Below are 19449 nucleotides of genomic sequence, written 5' to 3'. Positions count from 1 at the left end.
TCGAGGGGAAACATTCCGGGCTTTCCCAGCGGATGACCCGTGTTATTTTGTCATTTTCCGCGGGGCCCAGGCGCGGAATGTGCTCGCGCAAAAGCCCCCTCCCCTCGGCCGGGCCGGAGCTCTCAGGCTCCGTCGCCCCCCTCGCCCGCTGGCCGCCACTTGGCGATCTCTTTAATATTCATGGGCGTTAATAGAGAGGCCCTCAGTATATCGGTCCATTGTGGGCGGCTCGTAGGACTTGAATAGGCCTCGGCCCCCTTTCTTCGGCGCGGCTTCCCGAGGGGCCGGGCCAGGAGTGAATGGCCCCGCTTCCCGCTCCGCGCCCCCTCCCCCTTTCAGGGAGAACATCTTTATCCTCTTCTCCGCTGCCGCCGCCGCCCGGGCCCCCATTCACGCGGCCCCGGCTCCGGGCGGAACGAATCAATTTGCCGCGGCTCTTCGGAGGTCATCCTCGCCGCCCGGGTGCCCTCTTCCCCTGAGCCCACGGGAGTGGAGAGAGGGCCGCCGCGGCAGGCCGACGGCCCCACGGAGGGACATTGAAGGGGAAGTGGAGGAGAAGAGCAGGGGCGACCCGGAGGGGTGGCTGGGCCGGGGCGGGCAAGACAGTCTCAGGGCCCGGCAGCCGCCCGGGGTTGGCTAATTTCTAGTTGTTGCCCCGCTCAGGGCGGAGCGCCGAGGGGAAGGAGGCCGCGGCCCAAGCCCGGAGGTCCGTTCGTCCTCCCCTTGAGGCACCAGCGCGCGTCCCTTCGGCCCGGCTGAGGCACCTATGAGAACGGGGGCGTGTGGGACAGCCCAGGGCCCCGCACGACGCTTTCGTTCTCGCCGGTGCGCCGGGGCTTAGCTCCGGGAGAGCCAGGTCCCGACAGTGCGCTTCAGGGGGACGCTCGGAAGGGCGGCCGGCTTCGCGGCTCCTGCGCCCTCGCTCTGGGGCCCGGGCCTGGGTGCGGGGGAGGGGGGTGCGAGTCGGTCAGGCGGGGCCAAAGCGCACGGGTCCCCGCCCTGCCCGCCCCGCCGGCCCTCAGAGGCGCAGAAAGAAGCCCATTGTCCGCCGAGAAATACATTTTTGGGGGCCGAGTGAAAGCCCGTCTTTCTTTTGAACTTTAGAAGAAAGTCTCCTGTTCTCGCCCCTCGGAGGGAGAGATTTGTCCCCCCTCCCGGGAGCTCCGCGCGCCTCCTCCTCCCGAAACATCTGCCGGGGGAAAATCCACCCTGGAGGGCAGATCGCGCTCGCTTTAAGCCTGGCGAACTCATTAAAAAGATATTAGCGGCGGGGGCAGGTCCCGCGCAGGTATCGATCGGCCGGAATGAGCCCGAGGAAGAAAAGGCGAAGAATGCGCCCGCGCCGCGCTCAGACGCCCACCCGCCCCGCCCAGCCCCTGCGCCCCAGCCCCGCATAGGGAGAGGGGCCCCCGCGCCGCCTCGCACTGTCTGTGAGTCCCGCGGCCCGCGGTCCAGCCGCCCCCACCCGGGCTCCTCGGCACAGCCCCTCGGCAACCCTCCCCTGCCGGTGCTGCGCTCCGTCCTGGCTTCCCCTGCGCGCAGGTTCCCGGCCGCTCCCCTCCTCCGCCCGCTGCCGTCGCGCGCCCAGCATCCGCGTCTCTCTTCTCCCCCTCTCCTTCTCTTCCTCCTTCCCCAGCGCTCCCCTCTTTCGCTGGCGCTCCGACTCCCTCTCCAGCTTCGCACACCCTCTCCGCTTCCTCCTCGCACGTCTCTCTCTGGCTTTCTGAGCCTCAATCTTTCGCAGTGGCCCAGGAAATTCCTTCCTCGCGTGGGGCCCGCGCCGCTCCCCTCCCCCCACCCCCGTTCCCCGTAAGACGGTTCAGGGTTCCAGGGCGCCCCCGCCGGCGCGTACAAAGGCGCGGCTGGCTGCCAAGGCGGGTGGGGGCGAGGCCGAAAAAAACGGTTTCAACAGACGTGACTCGGGGCCAGGCCTGCGCGGGGCTGCCGGCGGAGTGGCGGCCTCGGCTCAGTGAATGGGGACAGCGGCCCCCTCTCCCACCCCACCCCTGTCCCCTCCCAATGTAATTAGCTTTCAAGGCTCGGGAGAGACAAAGGCGCGCCCCGGGGCGCCCACGTGGAGTGCGTAGGCGCGAAGTCGGCGCCCCGACCGGCAGGTGACTGGCACGCGAGTCTCCCCAGGCGCCCAGGGGCGGAGGAGGGGAAGCCCCTCCCCTGCGCCTCTCGAACCCCCTTCCATCGCCCACACCCCGGTCCCCAGGCCAGCGATGCCAGCGCCACAGCCCAGGCTGATCAAGGCGGCGGGAACGACGGGAGAGACGCCGGGGACACCAGGAGACCGGGCGGTGGGAGAGACAGAGGCGCAGGCTTCTGGAAGCAGAGGGGGCGAGACAGGGGTCGGGGGAGACTGAGGCAAGGCGATGCCGAGGTGGAGGGAGCAGATGAAAGGCCGAGTCGGAGACGCAGGGGTACAAAGACTCGGAGATGAAGGAAGCAGAGGGGGAGAGGCACGGCTTCCGAAAGAGCGGGAGGCCTGGAGAGGCTTTCAAGAGCTGGATCACCAAGAGGGAGCAACAGGGTGCTACAGAGAGACTGGAGTGTGAGGGCAAAAGGAGTCCTGGGGAAAACAGCAGGGAAAGGTTGAAGAGGGCAGGCTGGTTGGGGTCTGTGGGAGGCAGGCGCCCTCCCTGTCCGTCTTCCCTGGCCCCTCCAGCCTCCAGCTCACCCTCCTCTGTTGCCTGCCCCTCTGGTGGGTCTAGGGGCAGCCAGAAGGAGCCCTCTCCGACCCATTCACAACCTCCTCTTCTGCCCGAGTCCCTTCCCACCCCACACCCAGCCCTTCCTCCACAACTTCCCTGAGCCGCCTCCTGCCTTCCAGAACCTTGCACTCAATTCCACCTGAAATGTCCTCCCTGCATTGCCCCAGAGCAGACAGGGGGTTGGAGTCAGGGGGCTGTGCCCTGACTGCTGCTCCCTGAGGCCACCTGCTGCCATCCAGACCATCTCCTGCCTCATGGGGAATCATTGCATTGTTCAACAAACATTTTTTGAGCACCTACTATGTACCAGGTCCCATACAAGGCCCTGGGGGCACCAAGTGACCAGGGCAGACCCAGTTCTTGCCTTCTCAGACCACCTTCCAAGCGGTGCACCCTGGTAGGCCAGAGCTTCTCCTAGGTCGCCCTGGTGGCTCTGAGGTCTCTCTTGACAGCTTTCTCTGAGGGCTCCTGCTGAAATGGCTGTGACTTCATTTGTAGAGTGGGAACAATAACCAGGCCTGTTTGTGATGCCTCACGTATCAGGTGAATGAGCTCACACTCAAGTTGCAGAGTGAATGGTGAAAAGGTGCTTGTGGCTGGCACTCCTATTACTGTCCCCTCCCCAGAGACCACTCCCCAGGTGAATAGGTCCTCTGGGGCCATCAAGAAATGCCCAGGGCCCCAGAGACCTGCAGATGTGGGTCCAAGTCTGGTTCCAGCAGCTACTGGTCAGGAGCCAAGGCACCCACTTGTCCTCTGTGAGCCTCAGTTTGTTCATCTGTGAAATGGAGATAAAAATAGAACCTCCACTGGGAAGTCTTTTGTAAAGGATAAAAGACAGTGCATGAAAAGCTCATAGGAGACACGATGCATTTGACTTACGAAAAATGTGGGCACCTTCATTACATTTAAAGGACAACATATGGCCGGGCAAGGTGGCTCACACCTGTAATCCCAGCACTTTGGAAGGCCAAGGCAGCTGGATCACTGGAGGTCAGGAGTTGGAGACAAGCCTGGCCAACGTGGAGAACCCCGTCTCTACTAAAAATACAAAAATTAGCTGGGCGTGGTGATGGGTGCCTGTAATCACAGCTACTTGGGAGGCTGAGGCAGGAGAACCGCTTGAACCAGGGAGGCAGAGGTCGCAGTGAGCCAAGATCACGCCACTGCACTCCATCCTGGTGACAGAGCGAGACTCTGTCTCAAAGAAATAAAAATAAAAATAAATAAATAAATAAATAAAAGATAACATATGGTAGGTCGGGTGTGGTGGCTCACGCCTATAATCCCAGCACTTTGGAAAGCTGAGGTGGGTTCAAGATTGCCTGAGCACAGGAGGTTGAGACCAGCCTGGGCAACACGGCGAAACCCTGTCTCTATTAAAAATACAAAAAATCAGCCTGGTGTGGTGGCACACACCTGTAGTCCCAGCTACTTGGGAGACTGAGGCAGGAAAATCACTTGAATCCACGAGGCGGAGGCTGCAGTGAGCTCAGATCACGCCACTGCACTCCAGCCTGGGTGACAACAAAATTCTGTCTACAAAACAAAACAACACAAACAAACAAAAACAACAGCAACAAACACCACATGGCTACGTGGCTTTGGGAAATATGGAAAGAACAAAGGTAGGTACCAAATATCACCTATAAAGAGATACTGAAAGCAAAACCATATGATAAGAAAGTTGACCAGGACGCCAAGGAGTCTGTGAGCCGTATCTAACGAAGAGTGGCTGGAATGAAGAACAACAGTCATCAAATAATGAACATTTGCTAGGCACCCAGGGTATCTCAATCCATCTTCAGCCCTGCACCCTGAGGTAGCTGCTGTCATTATCTGTAACTCACAGAAAGGGAAACTGAGCCACAGGGAAGTTAAGTGTCTCAGCCAGGAACACCTCTGTCCCCAAGCAAAAGTGGACCTGACCCCAGTGGCTGCTGTCACAAGAGATTTATTTTTTCACATAACAGAGTACAGAGGTGGGTATGTGTCTATGACCTTGGCTCAGCAGTTCAAGGATGTGAGGCCTGAGGTTCCTTCTGTTCTCGTGGTGACACAATGGCTGCTGCAGCCCTGCCATCACATTAGAGGCTGGGAGGAGGAAGGGGCAGAGTTTCACTGACATGTCCCTGGTCACACGCAGTGAGCAAAGAGGAGAGGTGAAACTGAAATCCGGGCAGCCTGAGTTCAGGCTGGGACCTTAACTACAACCTCCCGGCTAGGGCTATCCAAGCCAGAGGAACAATGACTCGGGGGATCCATGCACTGTCTGCCAACCCCGAGAGCCCGTTCAAGTGGGCAGGGAGCAGCTTTTGTTTACTGCACAGAAACTAGGCACCAGGTGTGCAGAGATGAACTCCGTGGTCCCTCCTGACCCATCTCAGGACTGGGGCTTCTGGAGGACAGGCATCTGGTCTGAATCTTCCTTGGTCTCCAGGGCCAGCACCAGGGCCTGGCACACAGCGAGTGCTCAGCCCGTGAGTGAATGACAGGGTAGATGGAGCCACAGTGGCATGGACAGGTTAGGGAAGGACAGTGAGGGCTCCGGCCTTGCCTACCTCCTCTGGGTGGCACGAGGGAGCCTCTGAATCCCAGCAAAGCGGATGGCAGCTCCAGAAACTGCCAAAAGGCCAGGGCAGCCCAGATCCTCAGAACCCGGGGGCCCAGTCAGGATGTGGAAAGAGATGGTGAAGCCCAGTCATAAATGCTCCCCCCTAAGTAGACACAAACAGCTGGACGTGTCCTCAGACCCCAGATCGGAGCTGGAGGGACCCGCTGCAGTGGGTTGGACCCGCTGAAGATACTTCATTCCCTCCCCTTCCCTGCAGCCAGGGCCTCAGCCTCCCCCGGCCTCTGCTTCCAGCTTCTGGCCTGTCCATCCTGTGATGTGCCTCCCCAGCACCTCCCATATCATCCCCACCACCCCAGCTCCCAAACCGTCAACAGCATGGAGGACAACGCAGCAATGGCCCTGCTCCTCAAGAGATCCTTTCTGTTCCCAGTGAAGCATTGGGTCCAGCACATTCACATGCAGGCAGCTCCTAGCAACTCTGTGAGATGTGTCCCTGCGTTTGCCTACTTTTACAGAGGAGGAAACTGAGGCTTGTCGAGAGTCTCGAATGCTCTCTAAGCCTGTGCCCTTCCCCTCTCCATAGCTCAGAGAATAAAACCCTCAGGGGTCCTATCTGCTTATCCCTCTGACCCCATGGGAGTCCAATGCTCACAACTGTTGAGATGACAGAAAATGTGTGTTACACTGGCCTGGAAGGAGATGTTTAATTCTATTGTTTGTTTGTTTGTTTGAGATGGAGTCTCACTCTCACCCAGGCTGGAGTGCAGTGGCGCAATCTCGGCTGACTGCAACCTCCGCCTCCCAGGTTCAAGCGATTCTCCTGCCTCAGCCTCTGGAGTAGATGGGCTTACAGGTGCACACCACTATGCCTGGCTAATTTTTGTATTTTTAGTAGAGACAGGGTTTCACCATGTTGGCCAGGATGGTCTGGAACTCCTGACCTCAGGTGATCCACCCACCTCAGCCTCCCAAAGTGCTGGGATTACAGGCGTGAGGCAGTGCGCCCGGCCAGAGATGTTTAATTCTAGATTCCCTTCCCCACCCGCTTCACTCCTTCCCACCTGTCCCCTCCTCTGTGTCTGGGGTCAGACCTTGGATAATTAGGGAAGAAACTTATTTGAAGACCAGTTCAATTAGTTGTAGTTACAACGAAGGGGAATTTTGCTGCTCCAAATGTTCAAGAAGACACAAATATTCCAGAGCCTTCTGGACACGCCAGACTCTCAGATCATCATGTATTTATTTTAATTATGCAAATATTTAATGCACATCCACAATGCATCAAGCTGGACCTGGAGCTGGGGGCATGGAGCAAGGGCGAGTCAGGTGGTGCTTGGCCAGCCCAGCCCTGGCAGCCCCTGGTCACTGGAGACTTTAGTTAAAGGTGAGTCAGTTCCATCGGCAGCTACTGGGAACTTGCCCCTTGCTGGTGCTGTCCACGCACCGAGGCCAAAGAAGAACCAGCTGGGTTCTGGCCATGAGGTGTTGTTTCCTGTGGACAGTGCCCACACCATGCTAAGGGACGCTTGCCAGAATTTTAGACTCCTTCCATGGGATTTATTTTTCTTTTTTTTTTTCCTTTTTTGAGACAGAGTTTCACCTTTGTTGCCTGAGCTGGAGTGCAGTGGTGCGATCTCGGCTCACTGGAACCTCCGCCTCCCAGGTTCAAGCGATTCTCCTGCCTCAGCCTCCGAAATAGCTGGGATTACTGGCATGCGCTACCATGCCCGTCTACTTTTGTATTTTTAGTAGAGACGGGGTTTCACCATGTTAGCCAGGCTGGTCTCGAACTCCTGACCTCAGGTGATCCTCCCGCCTTGGCCTCCCAAAGTGCTGGGATGACAGGCGTGAGCCACTGCGCCTGGCTGGGATTTCTTTTTGCTTTCTTTTTTTTTTTTTTAATTTTAATAATTTTCTTTTCTTCTTCTTCTTCTTTTTTTTTGTTTGAGAGAGAGTCTTGCTCTGTCACCTAGGCTGGAGTGCAGTGGCACGATCTCAGCTCATTGCAACCCCCACCTCCTGGGTTCAAGCAATTCTCCTGCCTCAGCCTCATGAGTAGCTGGGATTACAGGCACCTGCCACCCCGCCTGGCTAATTTTTGTATTTTTAGTAGAGATGGGGTTTCACCATGTTGGCCAGGCTGGTCTTGAACTCCTGACCTCAAGTGATCCACCCACCTTGGCCTCCCAAAGTGCTGGGATTACAGGTGTGAGCCACCACGCCTGGCCTAATTTTTATTTTTATATTTATTTATTTATTTATTTTTTTGAGATGGAGTCTCGCTCTGTCACCCAGGCTGGAGTGCAGTGGCACCATCTCGGCTCACTGCAAGCTCCGCCTCCCGGGTTCACACCATTCTCCTGCCTCAGCCTCCTGAGTAGCTGGGACTACAGGCGCCCGCCACCACACCCGGCTCATTTTTTGCATTTTTAGTAGAGACGGGGTTTCATGGTGTTACCCAGGATGGTCTCAATCTCTTGACTGCGTGATCCGCCCACCTCGGCCTCCCAAAGTGCTGGGATTACAGGTGTGAGCCACCGTGCCTGGCCCTAATTTTTATTTTTAAAATAGCTTCATTGAGGTGTAATTAATATATAATAAGCTGCACATATCTAATGCATACAATTTGCTGAGTTTGAACATATGCGTACACCCCGAAACCATCACTGCAATCACAGTAATAAACATTCATCACCTCCAAAAGCTTCCCCTTGCTCCCATGTGTGTGTGCCAGGGGCTGGTGGTGGGGGGACGCTGGTAAGAACACTTGACATCTGCTCTCTTACGTTTTTTAGTGTACAATATGGTATTATCAGCTATAGGCACTACGTTGTCTTTTCTTTTTTTAAAGACAGACTCTCGCTCTATTACCCAGGCTAGAGTGCAGTGGTGTGATCATGGCTCAGTGCAGCCTTGACCTTCCGGGCCCAAGCCATCTTCCAGTCTCAGCCTCCTGAATAGCTGTGACCGCAAGTACATGCCACCACACCCGGCTAATTTTTAAACTTATTCTTGTAGTGTTGGGGTCTCCCTGTTTTACTCAGGCTGGTCTCAAACTCCTAGCCTCAAGTGATCCTGCTGCTTCAGCCTCCCAAAGTACTGGGATTACAGGCATGAGCCATTATGTCTGGCAAAAGTTTAGTTTTGTTTCATTTTGTTTTTAAGACAGGGTCGGGCTCTGTCACGAAGGCTGGTGAGCGGTGGTGCCATCATAGCCCATTGCAACCTCCAGCTCCTGCTTTCCATGGAATTTCGAGGGAGAAACCCTCTCATTCTTGTTGTCTAGCTGGGCAGGATGTCCTTTTGTTCCCCAGAGCTCCCTTAGAGGGGTGCTTAGAGCCCCCCCAACACCACACAGGGAGGAACTGCACTTTCACAGCCACAGATTTTTATGGGGGAGGATAGGTCTCAAAAGCATGTTTTTTGTTTTTTTTTGTTTTTTTGAGATGGAATTTTGCTCTTGTCACCCAGGCTGGAGTGCAATGGCGTGATCTTGGCTCACCACAACCTCCATCTCCTGGGTTCAAGCGATTCTCCTGCCTCAGCCTCCCGAGTAGCTGGGATTACAGGCATGCGCCACCACGCCTGGCTAATTGTTGTATTTTTAGTAGAGACGGGGTTTCATCATGTTGGCCAGGCTGATCTCGAACTCCTGACCTAGGTGATCTGCCCGCCTCGGCCTCCCAAAGTGCTGGGATTACAGGCGTGAGCCTTGGTGCCCAGCTGAGATTGTGTTTTTTTGTTGCCTTTTGTCATGCCTTGCAATTTTTTGTTGAAATCCAGACACACTGTATCAGATAACAGGAACTAAGGTCAAGAGGCCTTTAGTGTGAGGAGGGTATATTTCATTTTATATTTATTTATTTATTTATTTTAAAGGCTTGTTTTATTTTAATGGCTGATCCATGTAATAACGGAGGGAGCTGATCCATGTAATAACAGACAAAGGGGGAGCTTTTATTTCTTGGCCTTTTCCTCCTGGGACAAAGTCTTGATGATCTCTTCCTTCTTGGTCTGGAGGTGCTCTTCACGGAGCTTGCGTGCTTCCTTGGTCTTAGACCCGCGGGCCTCAGCCTGGTCAGCCAGGGGCTTCTTGCGGGCTTTGTCTGCCTTCAGCTTGTGGCTGTGTTCCGTGAGAATCCGCTTGTGTTTGAACACATTCCCCTTCAACTTCAGGTACAGGCTGTGATACATGTGGCGATCAATCTTCTTCGATTCTGAGCAGCCGGCGCAGAATCCTCAGTCTCCTCATCCACGTGACCTTCTCTGGCATTCAGGCATTGGCTGTACCCCTCCGCTTACCTATGCCCAAGTGCCTGCCCTTCCGGCGGGCCAAGGTGCTTTTCCAGCATTGAGCCCGGGAATGGACCGTCACAGGCTTGCGGTGACGCAAGATCAGCCCATCTTTGATCAGCTTCCGGATCTGCTGACGGAAGTTGGCATTGGGGATTTCATTGGTCTCATCGGGTCCAACCAGACCTTCTTCTCGCCACAGTGGAGGACACTAGAGATGAGCCTCTTCTGAGGTGTGAGCATACTCATGGCTGCGGCTGCAGCAGCGAAAGGAAAGCTCTTTTATATTTTATATTTATTTATTTAAATTTTTTGAGACAGGGTCTTGCTGTGGTGCCCAGGCTGGGGTGCAGTGGCATGATCAAGGCTCACTGTAGCCTCTAACTCCCAGACTCAGGTGATCCTCCTACCTCAGCCTTCCGAGTAGCTGGGACTACAGGCACGTGCCACCAGGCTCAGCTATTTTTTTTTTGTAGTTTTTGTAGAGATGGGGTTTCGCCATGTTGCCCAGGTTGGTCTTGAACTCCTGGGCTCAAGCGACCACCCACCTCGGCCTCCCAAAGTGCTGCGATTTCAGGCGCGAGCCACTGCGTCCGGCCGAGGCTGTATTATCCTCTTTCTAGGAGCTGGGCAGTGTTAGGTGTTTGCTGCGGCTGCAGGTGCCAGAGGCTCCACGTCTTCTACTGTCCTCATTGTTGTCTCCCTCCTGACTTTGGGAGGTCTGAGCCTTGAGTTCTGTCGCCTGTGACTCCCATGATGGTACCGCAGCTTGTGGGTGTGGTGAGGTGTGGGAGAGAGGGAACATTCTGTCGTCAGTCCTGTCTTGGTCCTGGGTCTTGGGGCTGTGACATTCACAAGTATCCCTGCAGGGGTGTCACTTTTCCCCCCTGCCACTTACTACCTTCTCTGGCTCAGGTTCCTTCCCGACCTAATTCCTTGCAGCCTGGCTCCTGAGCACTGTGCTTGTTCTTTGCGAAGCCTGGAAGGGGCTGGAGGGGGCTGGAAGGAGAATTCCATTCCCCTACCTGGGATAGGCTCTGGCAAAGCTCTTCCCCCTGGAATGGGGCCTTGGCTAGAAGGCTTTGAGTGTTTCACAAGGATCTCTACACCCACCCCAGCGAGAGCCTGTGGGATTTTTTTTTTTTTTTTTTTTTTTTGAGACAGAGTCTAGCTCTGTCTTCAGGCTGGAGTGATCTCGGCTCACTGCAAGCTCCACCTCCCGGGTTCAAGCGATTCTCCTGCCTCAGCCTCCCGAGTAGCTGGGACTACAGGTGCGCACCACCATGTCCAGCTAATTTTTGTATTTTTAGTAGAGACGGGGTTTCACCATGTTGGTCAGGATGGTCTCAATGTCTTGACCTCGTGATCCGCCCGCCTTGGCCTCCCAAAGTGCTGGGATTACAGGCATGAGCCATCGTGCCCGGCCCAGGATCTTTCTTCGACAGAATCAAGTGGGATTCCTGGAGGGAAACCCATGAAAGTGTGGGGGACCCCCTAGACTGAAGACTCTAGGACTTTGTCCCTCTGATGCCAGTCCACACTCAGCCTCTAGCAATTCATCCGAGTTCCCATCTGTGTTCCCACTTAGGGCTCCCGTGGCTTCTGCTCCTGGTCCACAGATGTCGCTGGGATTCTCCAGGTTCTCCTGTCTCTCCTGACTTGGGTGGAGCTTTGCCTTTGCAAACTCAGTTCTCTGAAACCTCAGAGAACTTCAAGAAAAGTTTCAACTGCAAGAAAAGTCATTGATTTTCAGTTTGTCCAAGTTAATTTTTTTTTTTTTTTTTTTTTGAGATGGAGTCTCGCTCTGTTGCCCAGGCTGGAGTATAGTGGCACCATCTCGGCTCACTGCAAGCTCCGCCTCCCGGGTTCACGCCATTCTCCTGCCTCAGCCTCCGGAGTAGCTGGGACAACAGGCGCCCACCACCACCCCCGGCTAATTTTTTTTTGTATTTTTAATAGAGACGGAGTTTCACCGTGTTAGCCAGGCTGGTCTCGATCTCCTGACCTCGTGATCCGCCCGCCTTGACCTCCCAAAGTGCTGGGATTACAAGTGTGAGCCACTGCGCCCGGCCGTTTTTTTTTTCTTTTTAATTTTAATAATGAAATAATGAAAGTGGTGACTTTCAAGTTTTTTTGTTTTGTTTTGTTTTGTTTTTCAGGCTGGAGTACAGTGGCACGATCTCGGCTCATTGCAACCTTGGCCTCCCAGGCTCAAGCAATCCTCCTACTTTAGCCTCCCAAGTATTTGGGACTGCAAGCACGCGCCACCACGCCCGGCTAATTTTGTAGTACTTTTTGCAGAGATGGGGTTTCGCCATGTTGCCCATTGCACTCCAGCCTGGGTGACAGAGCAAGACTCTGCCTTACAAAAATAAAAAAATAAAAAAATTAATGACAGGCAGATAAGCACAGGTCCAGGAAACTCAGAGAACACCAATCTGGATAAATAGCAACAAATAATCACAACAAAAATACCAGAAACAGAAACACACACACCACACACACACACGTACACACAAAGCAAAACAAATAAAAAACAAACACACACACAGAATCCACACCCAGCCACAATATATTCAAACTGCAGAAAGCCAAAGAGATCAGATACAAGCACAAGTGGCATTTATTTCTTCTTCTTCTTCTTTTTTTTTTTTTGGATGGAGTCTCGCTCAGTCCACCCAGGCTGGAGTGCAGTGGCATGATCTCGGCTCACTGCAACCTCCAACTCCTGGGCTCAAGTGATTCTCCCACCTCAGCCTCTTGAGTAGCCGGGACTACAGGTGCGTGCCCCTACGCCTGGCTAATTTTTGTAGGTTTTTTTTTTTTTTTTTGAGATGGAGTTTCACTCTGTTGCCTAGACTGGAGTGCAGTGGCATTATCTCGGCTCACTGCAACCTCTGCCTCCCGGGTTCAAGTGATTCTCCTGCCACAGTCTCCTGAGTAGCGGGTATTACAGGCATCCTCCACCAAGCCCAGCAAATTTCTGTATTTTTAGTACAGACGAGGTTTCACCATGTTGGCCAGGCTGGTCTCAAACTCTTGACCTCAAGTGATCTGCCTGCCTCGGCCTCCCAAAGTGCTGGGAGTACAGGCATGAGCCACCATGCCCAGCCTCACACCCTGCTAATTTCTGTATTTTTAGTAGAGACAGGGTTTCACCATGTTGGCCAGGCTGATCTCAAACTCCTGAGCTCAGGTGATCCTCCTGCCTCAGCCTCCCAAAGTGTTGGGATTACAGGTGTGAGCCAGCGCGCCCAGCCTGAACCAGTTGTATTACAGTGTATGCAAAACAACAAGGTAAGCAGTTCAAAAACTGTCATCATTGACAACTGCTTATTTGTTTGAATCAGGATCACAAGGTCAAGAGATCGAGACCATCCTGGCCAACATGGTGAAACCCTGTCTCTACTAAAAATAAAAAATTGGCTGGACGTGGTGGCACGCGTCTGTAGTCCCAGCTACTCGGGAGGCTGAGACAAGAGAATCGCTTGAACCTGGGAGGCAGAGGTTGCAGTGAGCCAAGATCGCACCACTGCACTCCAGCCTGGGTGACAGAGTGAGACTCCTTAATAAAATTAAAAAAAAAAATAAAAAATAAAATAAAATAAAATAAAATGGTTCAGAAGATTTTTAAAAAAAGGGTAGGAAGAATTTTTTGTCTCAAAGTTGAATTGCTAGGTAGGGCATGGTAGCTTACACCTGTAATACCAACTCTTTTGGAGGCCAAGATGGGAAGATCACTTGAGACCAGGAGTTCAAGACTAGCTTGGGTAACATGGTGAGACCTCGTCTCTACAAAAAAAAAAAAAAAAAAAAAAAAAATAGCTGGGTGTGGTACACCTGTAGTTCCAGCTGCTGGGAGGCTGAGGTAGGAGGATCACTAAAAAATAAAATTATAAAGTGGAATTGCTAACTAACCATTGCCAGATATAAACAAGTGCCTCTGCTAGATCAGCTCCATGCAGGGAGAAGTGACTTTGCCCCATCCCTCAGGGCTGAGCACAATGCCTTGGGTACAGCTGGTGCCTCAACACTATTAGTTGGATTTTATTTTATTTTTTATTTTTTTATTTTTTGAGACGGAGTTTCACTCTTGATGCCCAGGCTGGAGTCCAATGGCACGATCTCGGCTCACCACAACTTCCACCTCCCGGAAGTTGAGGCAGCGATTCTTCTGCCTCAGCCTCCCGAGTAACTGGGATTACAGGCACCTGCCACCACGCCTGGCTAACTTTGAATTTTTAGTAGAGACGGGGTTTTACCATGTTGGTCAGGTTGGTCTTGAACTCCTGACCTCAGGTGATCCACCCACCTCGGCCTCCCAAAGTGCTGGGAATACAGGCGTGAGGCACCGTGCCTGTACTTATTTTATTTTATTTTTTTGAGATGGAGTCTTACTCTGTAGCTCAGGCTGGAGTGCAGGGTCTCGGTCTTGGCTCACTGCAACCTCCACCTCCCAGGTTCAAGTGATTCTCCTGCCTCAGCCTCCCGTGTAGCTGGGACTACAGGTGCGTGCCACCACGCCAGGCTAATTTTTTTTTTTTTTTGTATTTTTAGTAGAGATGGGATTTCATCATGTTGGCCAGGCTGGTCTTGAACTCCTGACCTCAGGTGATCCATCCACCTTGGCCTTCCAAAGTGCTGGGATTACAGGTGCGAGCCGCCGCACCTGGCCTAGTTGTGGGTTTTAACTGCACGAGAACCATGATTGGTCATGGCGAGACCATCTGTTTGCTGAACCTCGCCTGGCATCTGAGCATGGAATTCCGTAATGAACTGAGAAATGAACTTTTGGGCACAAGAGCCGATGCCCACAGGCATGACTTCAAAGACCAGTGTTAGAACATTCCGCAATGGCAATGTGCGCAATGAGGACACACCTGCTCAGAAATGAGTTAAGGTAGTAGCACAAGTTGACCTGTTATGCATCTTCGATGGTGATATGGTTTGGATTTTTGTCCTGGCCAAATCTCATGTTGAATTTGAGGAGGGGCCTGGTGGGAGATGACTGGATCACGGGGGCTGATTTCCCCCTTGCTGTTCTCATCATAGTGAGTGAGTTCTCATGATATCTGATGGTTTGAAAGTGTGTGGCATTTGGGCCGGGTGCGGTGGCTCACACCTGTAATCCCAGCACTTTGGGAGGCCGAGGCGGGCGGATCACCTGAGGTCGGCAGTTTGAGACCAGCCTGGCCAACATGGAGAAACCCCGTCTCTACTAAAAATACAAAAATTAGCCAGGCGTGGTGGCACATGCCTGTAATCCCAGCTACTCGGGAGGCTGAGGCAGGATAAACACTTGAACCCGGGAGGCGGAGGTTGCAGTGAGCCAAGATGGCGCCACTGCACTCCAGCCTGGGCAACAAGAGCAAAACCTCGTCTAAAAAAGAAAGAAAGAAAGAAAGAAAGTGTGTGGCACTTCCTGCCTTGCTCTCTCTCTCCCGCTCTGCCACGCTAAGATGTGCCTGCTTCCCCTTTGCCTTCTGCCATGATTATAAATTTCCTGAGGCTTCCCAGTCGTGCCTCCTGTATAGCCTGCAGAACTGTGAGTCAATTAAACCTCTCTTCTTTGTAGATTACCCAGTCTCAGGTAGTTCTTCGTGGCAGTGTGAGAATAGACTAATATAGATTGATTAAATGTGGTGTAAATTACAGACCAGTGGTTTTCATGAATGTATATATAACAATCCTAATAAAAAAGTTAGTAAACCAAACCAATTATATATATAATATGTATATCTTATCAACTATATCTATCTACCTATCATCTATCTACCTATCATCTATCTATCATCTATCTATCTATCCATGTATCTATCAATAAAATAGATAATCCTTTACAACCATTATGAGGTTTATTCTAGGAATGCAAGGCTGGTTTAACATTTGAAAATCTATCAGTGTAATTCATTACATTGAAGCGAAAAAGGAGATAAATCATAGATGATCTCTACAGATGCAGAAGAAAGTACTGAAACAATTCATTACCTATTCATGACAAAACTCTTGGCAAACTAGAAACAGAAGAAAACCTCCTTATCAGATAAACTGTATGCCAAACATACACTCTGAGGCTACAAACAAGACCAGAATGACAACTCTCATGGCTTTCAATCAACAAGATACTGAAGGTCTTGGCCAGAGTAGTCAAGCAATACAAAGAACAAATGGCATAAGGATTGGGAAGAAAAAAATAACACCATCATTATTCATAAATGATCTGACTGTGAAAACAGGAAATTCAAAAGAATCTACAACATTGTTAGGTTGTCAGTTCTTCCCAAATTGATCTATAGATTCATTGCAATCCCAGTAAAAATCCCAGCAAATTTAAAATATTTTTATGGGGGTTGGGAGATCGACAAGCTGATTCTAAAATTTGTATAGAAATGCAAAGGGCTGGGAGTAGCCAAGACAATCTTGAAGAACAACAAAGCTGAAGGACTTACTGTAAAGGTACAATAATTAAGACAGTTTTGTTGGGAGGCCGAGATGGGCGGATCACAAGGTCAGGAGATCAAGACCATCCTGGCTAACACGGTGAAACCCGGTCTCTACTAAAAATACAAAAAATTAGCCGGGCGTGGTGGCGGGCGCCTGTAGTCCCAGCAACTCAGGAGGCTAAGGCAGAAGAATAGCATGAACCCGGGGGGCGGAGCTTGCAGTGAGTCGAGATCGTGCCACTGCACTCCAGCCTGGGCGACAGAGCGAGACTCCATCTCAAAAAAATAAAAATTAAAATAAATAAATAAATAAATAAATAAATAAATAAAAATAATAATAATACAGCTTTGGCCAGGCGCGGTGACTCAAGCTTGTAATCAAAGCACTTCGGGAGGCCGAGGTGGATGGATCACGAGGTCAGGAGTTCGAGACCAACCAGTTTGAGACCAACCTGGCCAACCCCGTCTCTACTAAAAATACAAAAATTAGCGCATAGTGGTGGGCGCCTGTAATTCCAGCTACTCAGGATGCTCAGGCAAGAGAATTGCTTGAACCTGGGAGGCAAAGGTTGCACTGAGCCGAGATCATGCCACAGTACTCCAGCCTGGATGACAGAGAGAGACTCCCTCTCAAAAAAAAAAAAAAAAAAAAAAAAGGAAGGGAAAAAGAAAGTGCAGCATATAATGTACTTGAGTGCATGGTGTTTTTAAAAAACATTATGGTTACAAATTGTTTTTAAAAATGTTTAAGGCTGAGTGCAATGGCTCACGCCTGTAATCCCAGCACTTTAGGAGGCTGAGGCAGGCAGATCACCTGAGGTCAGGAGTTCGAGACCAGCCTGGCCAACTCTGCTAAAAATACAAAAATTAGCCGACGTGGTGGCACACACCTGTAGTCCCAGCTACTCGAGAGGCTCAGGTAGGAGAATCGCTTGAACCTGGAAGGCGGAGGTTGCAGTGAGCCGAGATCACACCACTGCAATCCAGCCTGAGCAACAGAGTGAGACTCTGTCTCAAAAAAAAAAAAAAAAGTTTAAATGCATTTAATATTTAACGTGTTTTATCGAAATGTGAATTAAACAACCATGAAATCCTTGACACCAACCTACCATAATTTGGAAACCACTTGTGTGGTCCAATTCCAAGGAAAGAAAACAGATCAAGAGAGCTGATCTATCCAAGTCACAGAAAGTCATCTGTCCAAGTTGGGAACAAAAGTGAGGCCTGTGGGTTCCCTTTGCCTGAAGGAAATTGTTGATCGTTCTCTCCCCTTGACTGAAGAAGTGGAGTTAGGGAAGAACCTTTCTTTTCTTTTCTTTCTTTTTTTTTTTTTGAGACGGAGTTTTGCTCTGTTGGCTGGAGTGCAGTGGCGCGATCCTGCTCACTGCAAGCTCTGCCTCCCAGGTTCACGCCATTCTCCTGCTTCAGCCTCCCAGTAGCTGGGACTACAGGCGCCTGCCACCATGCTCGGCTGATTTTTCATATTTTTAGTAGAGACGGGGCTTCACCATATTAGCCAGGATGGTCTCCAACTCCTGACCTCGTGATCCACCCGCCTCGGCCTACCAAAGTGCTGGGATTACAGGCATGAGCCACCGCGCCCGGCTTTTTTTTTTTTTTTTTTTTTGAGACGGAGTCTAGCTCTGTCACCCAGGCTGGAGTGCAGTGGTGCGATCTCGGCTCACTGCAGCCTCTGCCTCCTGGATTCAAGTGACTCTTTTGCCCAGACTCTCTCTAGTAGCTGGGATTACAGGTGCCTGCCACCATACCCTGCCCATTTTTTGTACTTTTGGTAGAGACAGGGTTTCACTATGTTGACCAGGCTGGTCTCAAACTCCTGACCTTGGGTAATCCACCCACCTTGGCCTCCCAAAGTGCTGGGATTACAGGCAAGAGCCACTGCACCCGGCTTTTTTTGGCTTGTTTGTTGAGACAGGGTCTTGCTCTGTCACCCAGGCTGGAGTGCAGTGGCATGATTACAGCTTACTGCAGCCTCGACTTCCTGGACTCAAGGGATCCTCTCACCTTGGCCTCCCAAGTAGTTGGGACTACAGGCATGCGCCATCATGCCTGGCTAATTAGAATTTTTTTTTTTTTTTTGTAGAGGTGGGGTCTCACTCCGTTGCCCAGGCTGGCCTCAAACTCCTGGCTCAAGCGATCCTCCCGCCTCGGTCTCCCAAAGTGCTGAGATTACAGATGTGAGCCACTGCACCAGGCCGGTTGCCAGTTTTTGAGTGCCCATTAAGAACCAGGTGTGAAGCGCTTTACTTGTGTGCCATTGACTCCTATCATAGCCCCACAGGCGGGCAGGTGGCTGCTAGCCCCACACTTAGGATACCAGAGGTTAGGTCATATGAGGTGCAGGCAGGACTCAGACCCAAGTTTAAGTGTCCACACATTCATGCCTCACACCCTGCTGCCTTAGGTAGGCTGAACTCGCCAGGCCCCACTAGAACCACGTGAGGCATTCCTTGCACATGTGCCTGGCTCTGCTCGTGTGTGGGTGTGGCAAGGCAGGCCGGTATCGCAGCCAGGCTAAGGTTTGAGGAGGCCTCAGCAAGAGTGTAGCTCTCCACTGAAACCCCAGCAGAGTGGAGCACGAACTTGCCATGGAACTGGCCCCTCCGTGCCTGTGTGAGTAAGGACAGTTTCCAGCCTCTCTGAGCCCTCATCTGTAAAATGGGGAGCATAGTCCTGGTTACCTCTCAGGTCACATGTGCACAACCATGGTATGACTCTGATCAGAACCTATTTAAACCTGTTTCCTTGGCCGAGCGCGGTGGCTCACGCCTGTAATCCCCGCACTTTGGGAGGCCGAGGCGGGTGGATCATGAGGTCAGGAGTTCGAGACCAGCCTGGCCAACATGGTGAAACCCTGTCTCTACTAAAAATACAAAAATTAGCTGGGTGTGGTGGCGGGCACCTGTAATCCCAGCTACTCAGGAGGCTGAGGCAGGAGAATTGCTTGAACCCGGGAGGCGGAGGCTGCAGTGAGCCGAGATCATGTCACTGCAGTCCAGCCTGGGTGACAGAGCAAGACTCCATCTCAGAAAAAACAAACAGACAAGCAAAACCCTATTTCCTCATCTCCAAAATGGGATAAGAGTCGGATTTTCCTTATAGGAAAGTAAGAGCCAGTGGATTCTAGTTGTTCATGGTAGTGATATATAAAGTCTCTGCAAATACTGAATCATCAAATACTAAACCCTTGTTCCTAAGGGAAATACAAGGCAAGGTTCCTGCAAGCCAGTGTCCACACCAATCTATAGATAATCTTTTTTATTTTATTTTGTTTTATTTTATTATTATTATTATTATTTTTTCAGACGGAATCTCGCTCTGTTGCCCAGGCTGGAGTGCAGTGGTGCAGTCTCGGCTCACTGCAACCTCTGTCTCCCAGGTTCAAGCAATTCTCCTGCCT

The 19449-nt window shown here is 51.8% G+C and overlaps 1 pseudogene; it reads right to left on the bottom strand.

Annotated features, from left to right (window-relative positions):
- On the bottom strand, nucleotides 9169-9862 carry RPL19P15 (ribosomal protein L19 pseudogene 15; annotated as a pseudogene).

This window comes from Homo sapiens, chromosome 9, assembly GCF_000001405.40.
Source record: "Homo sapiens chromosome 9, GRCh38.p14 Primary Assembly".
Lineage (NCBI taxonomy): Eukaryota > Metazoa > Chordata > Mammalia > Primates > Hominidae > Homo > Homo sapiens.
This window is presented reverse-complemented; position numbering and strand designations above follow the sequence as displayed.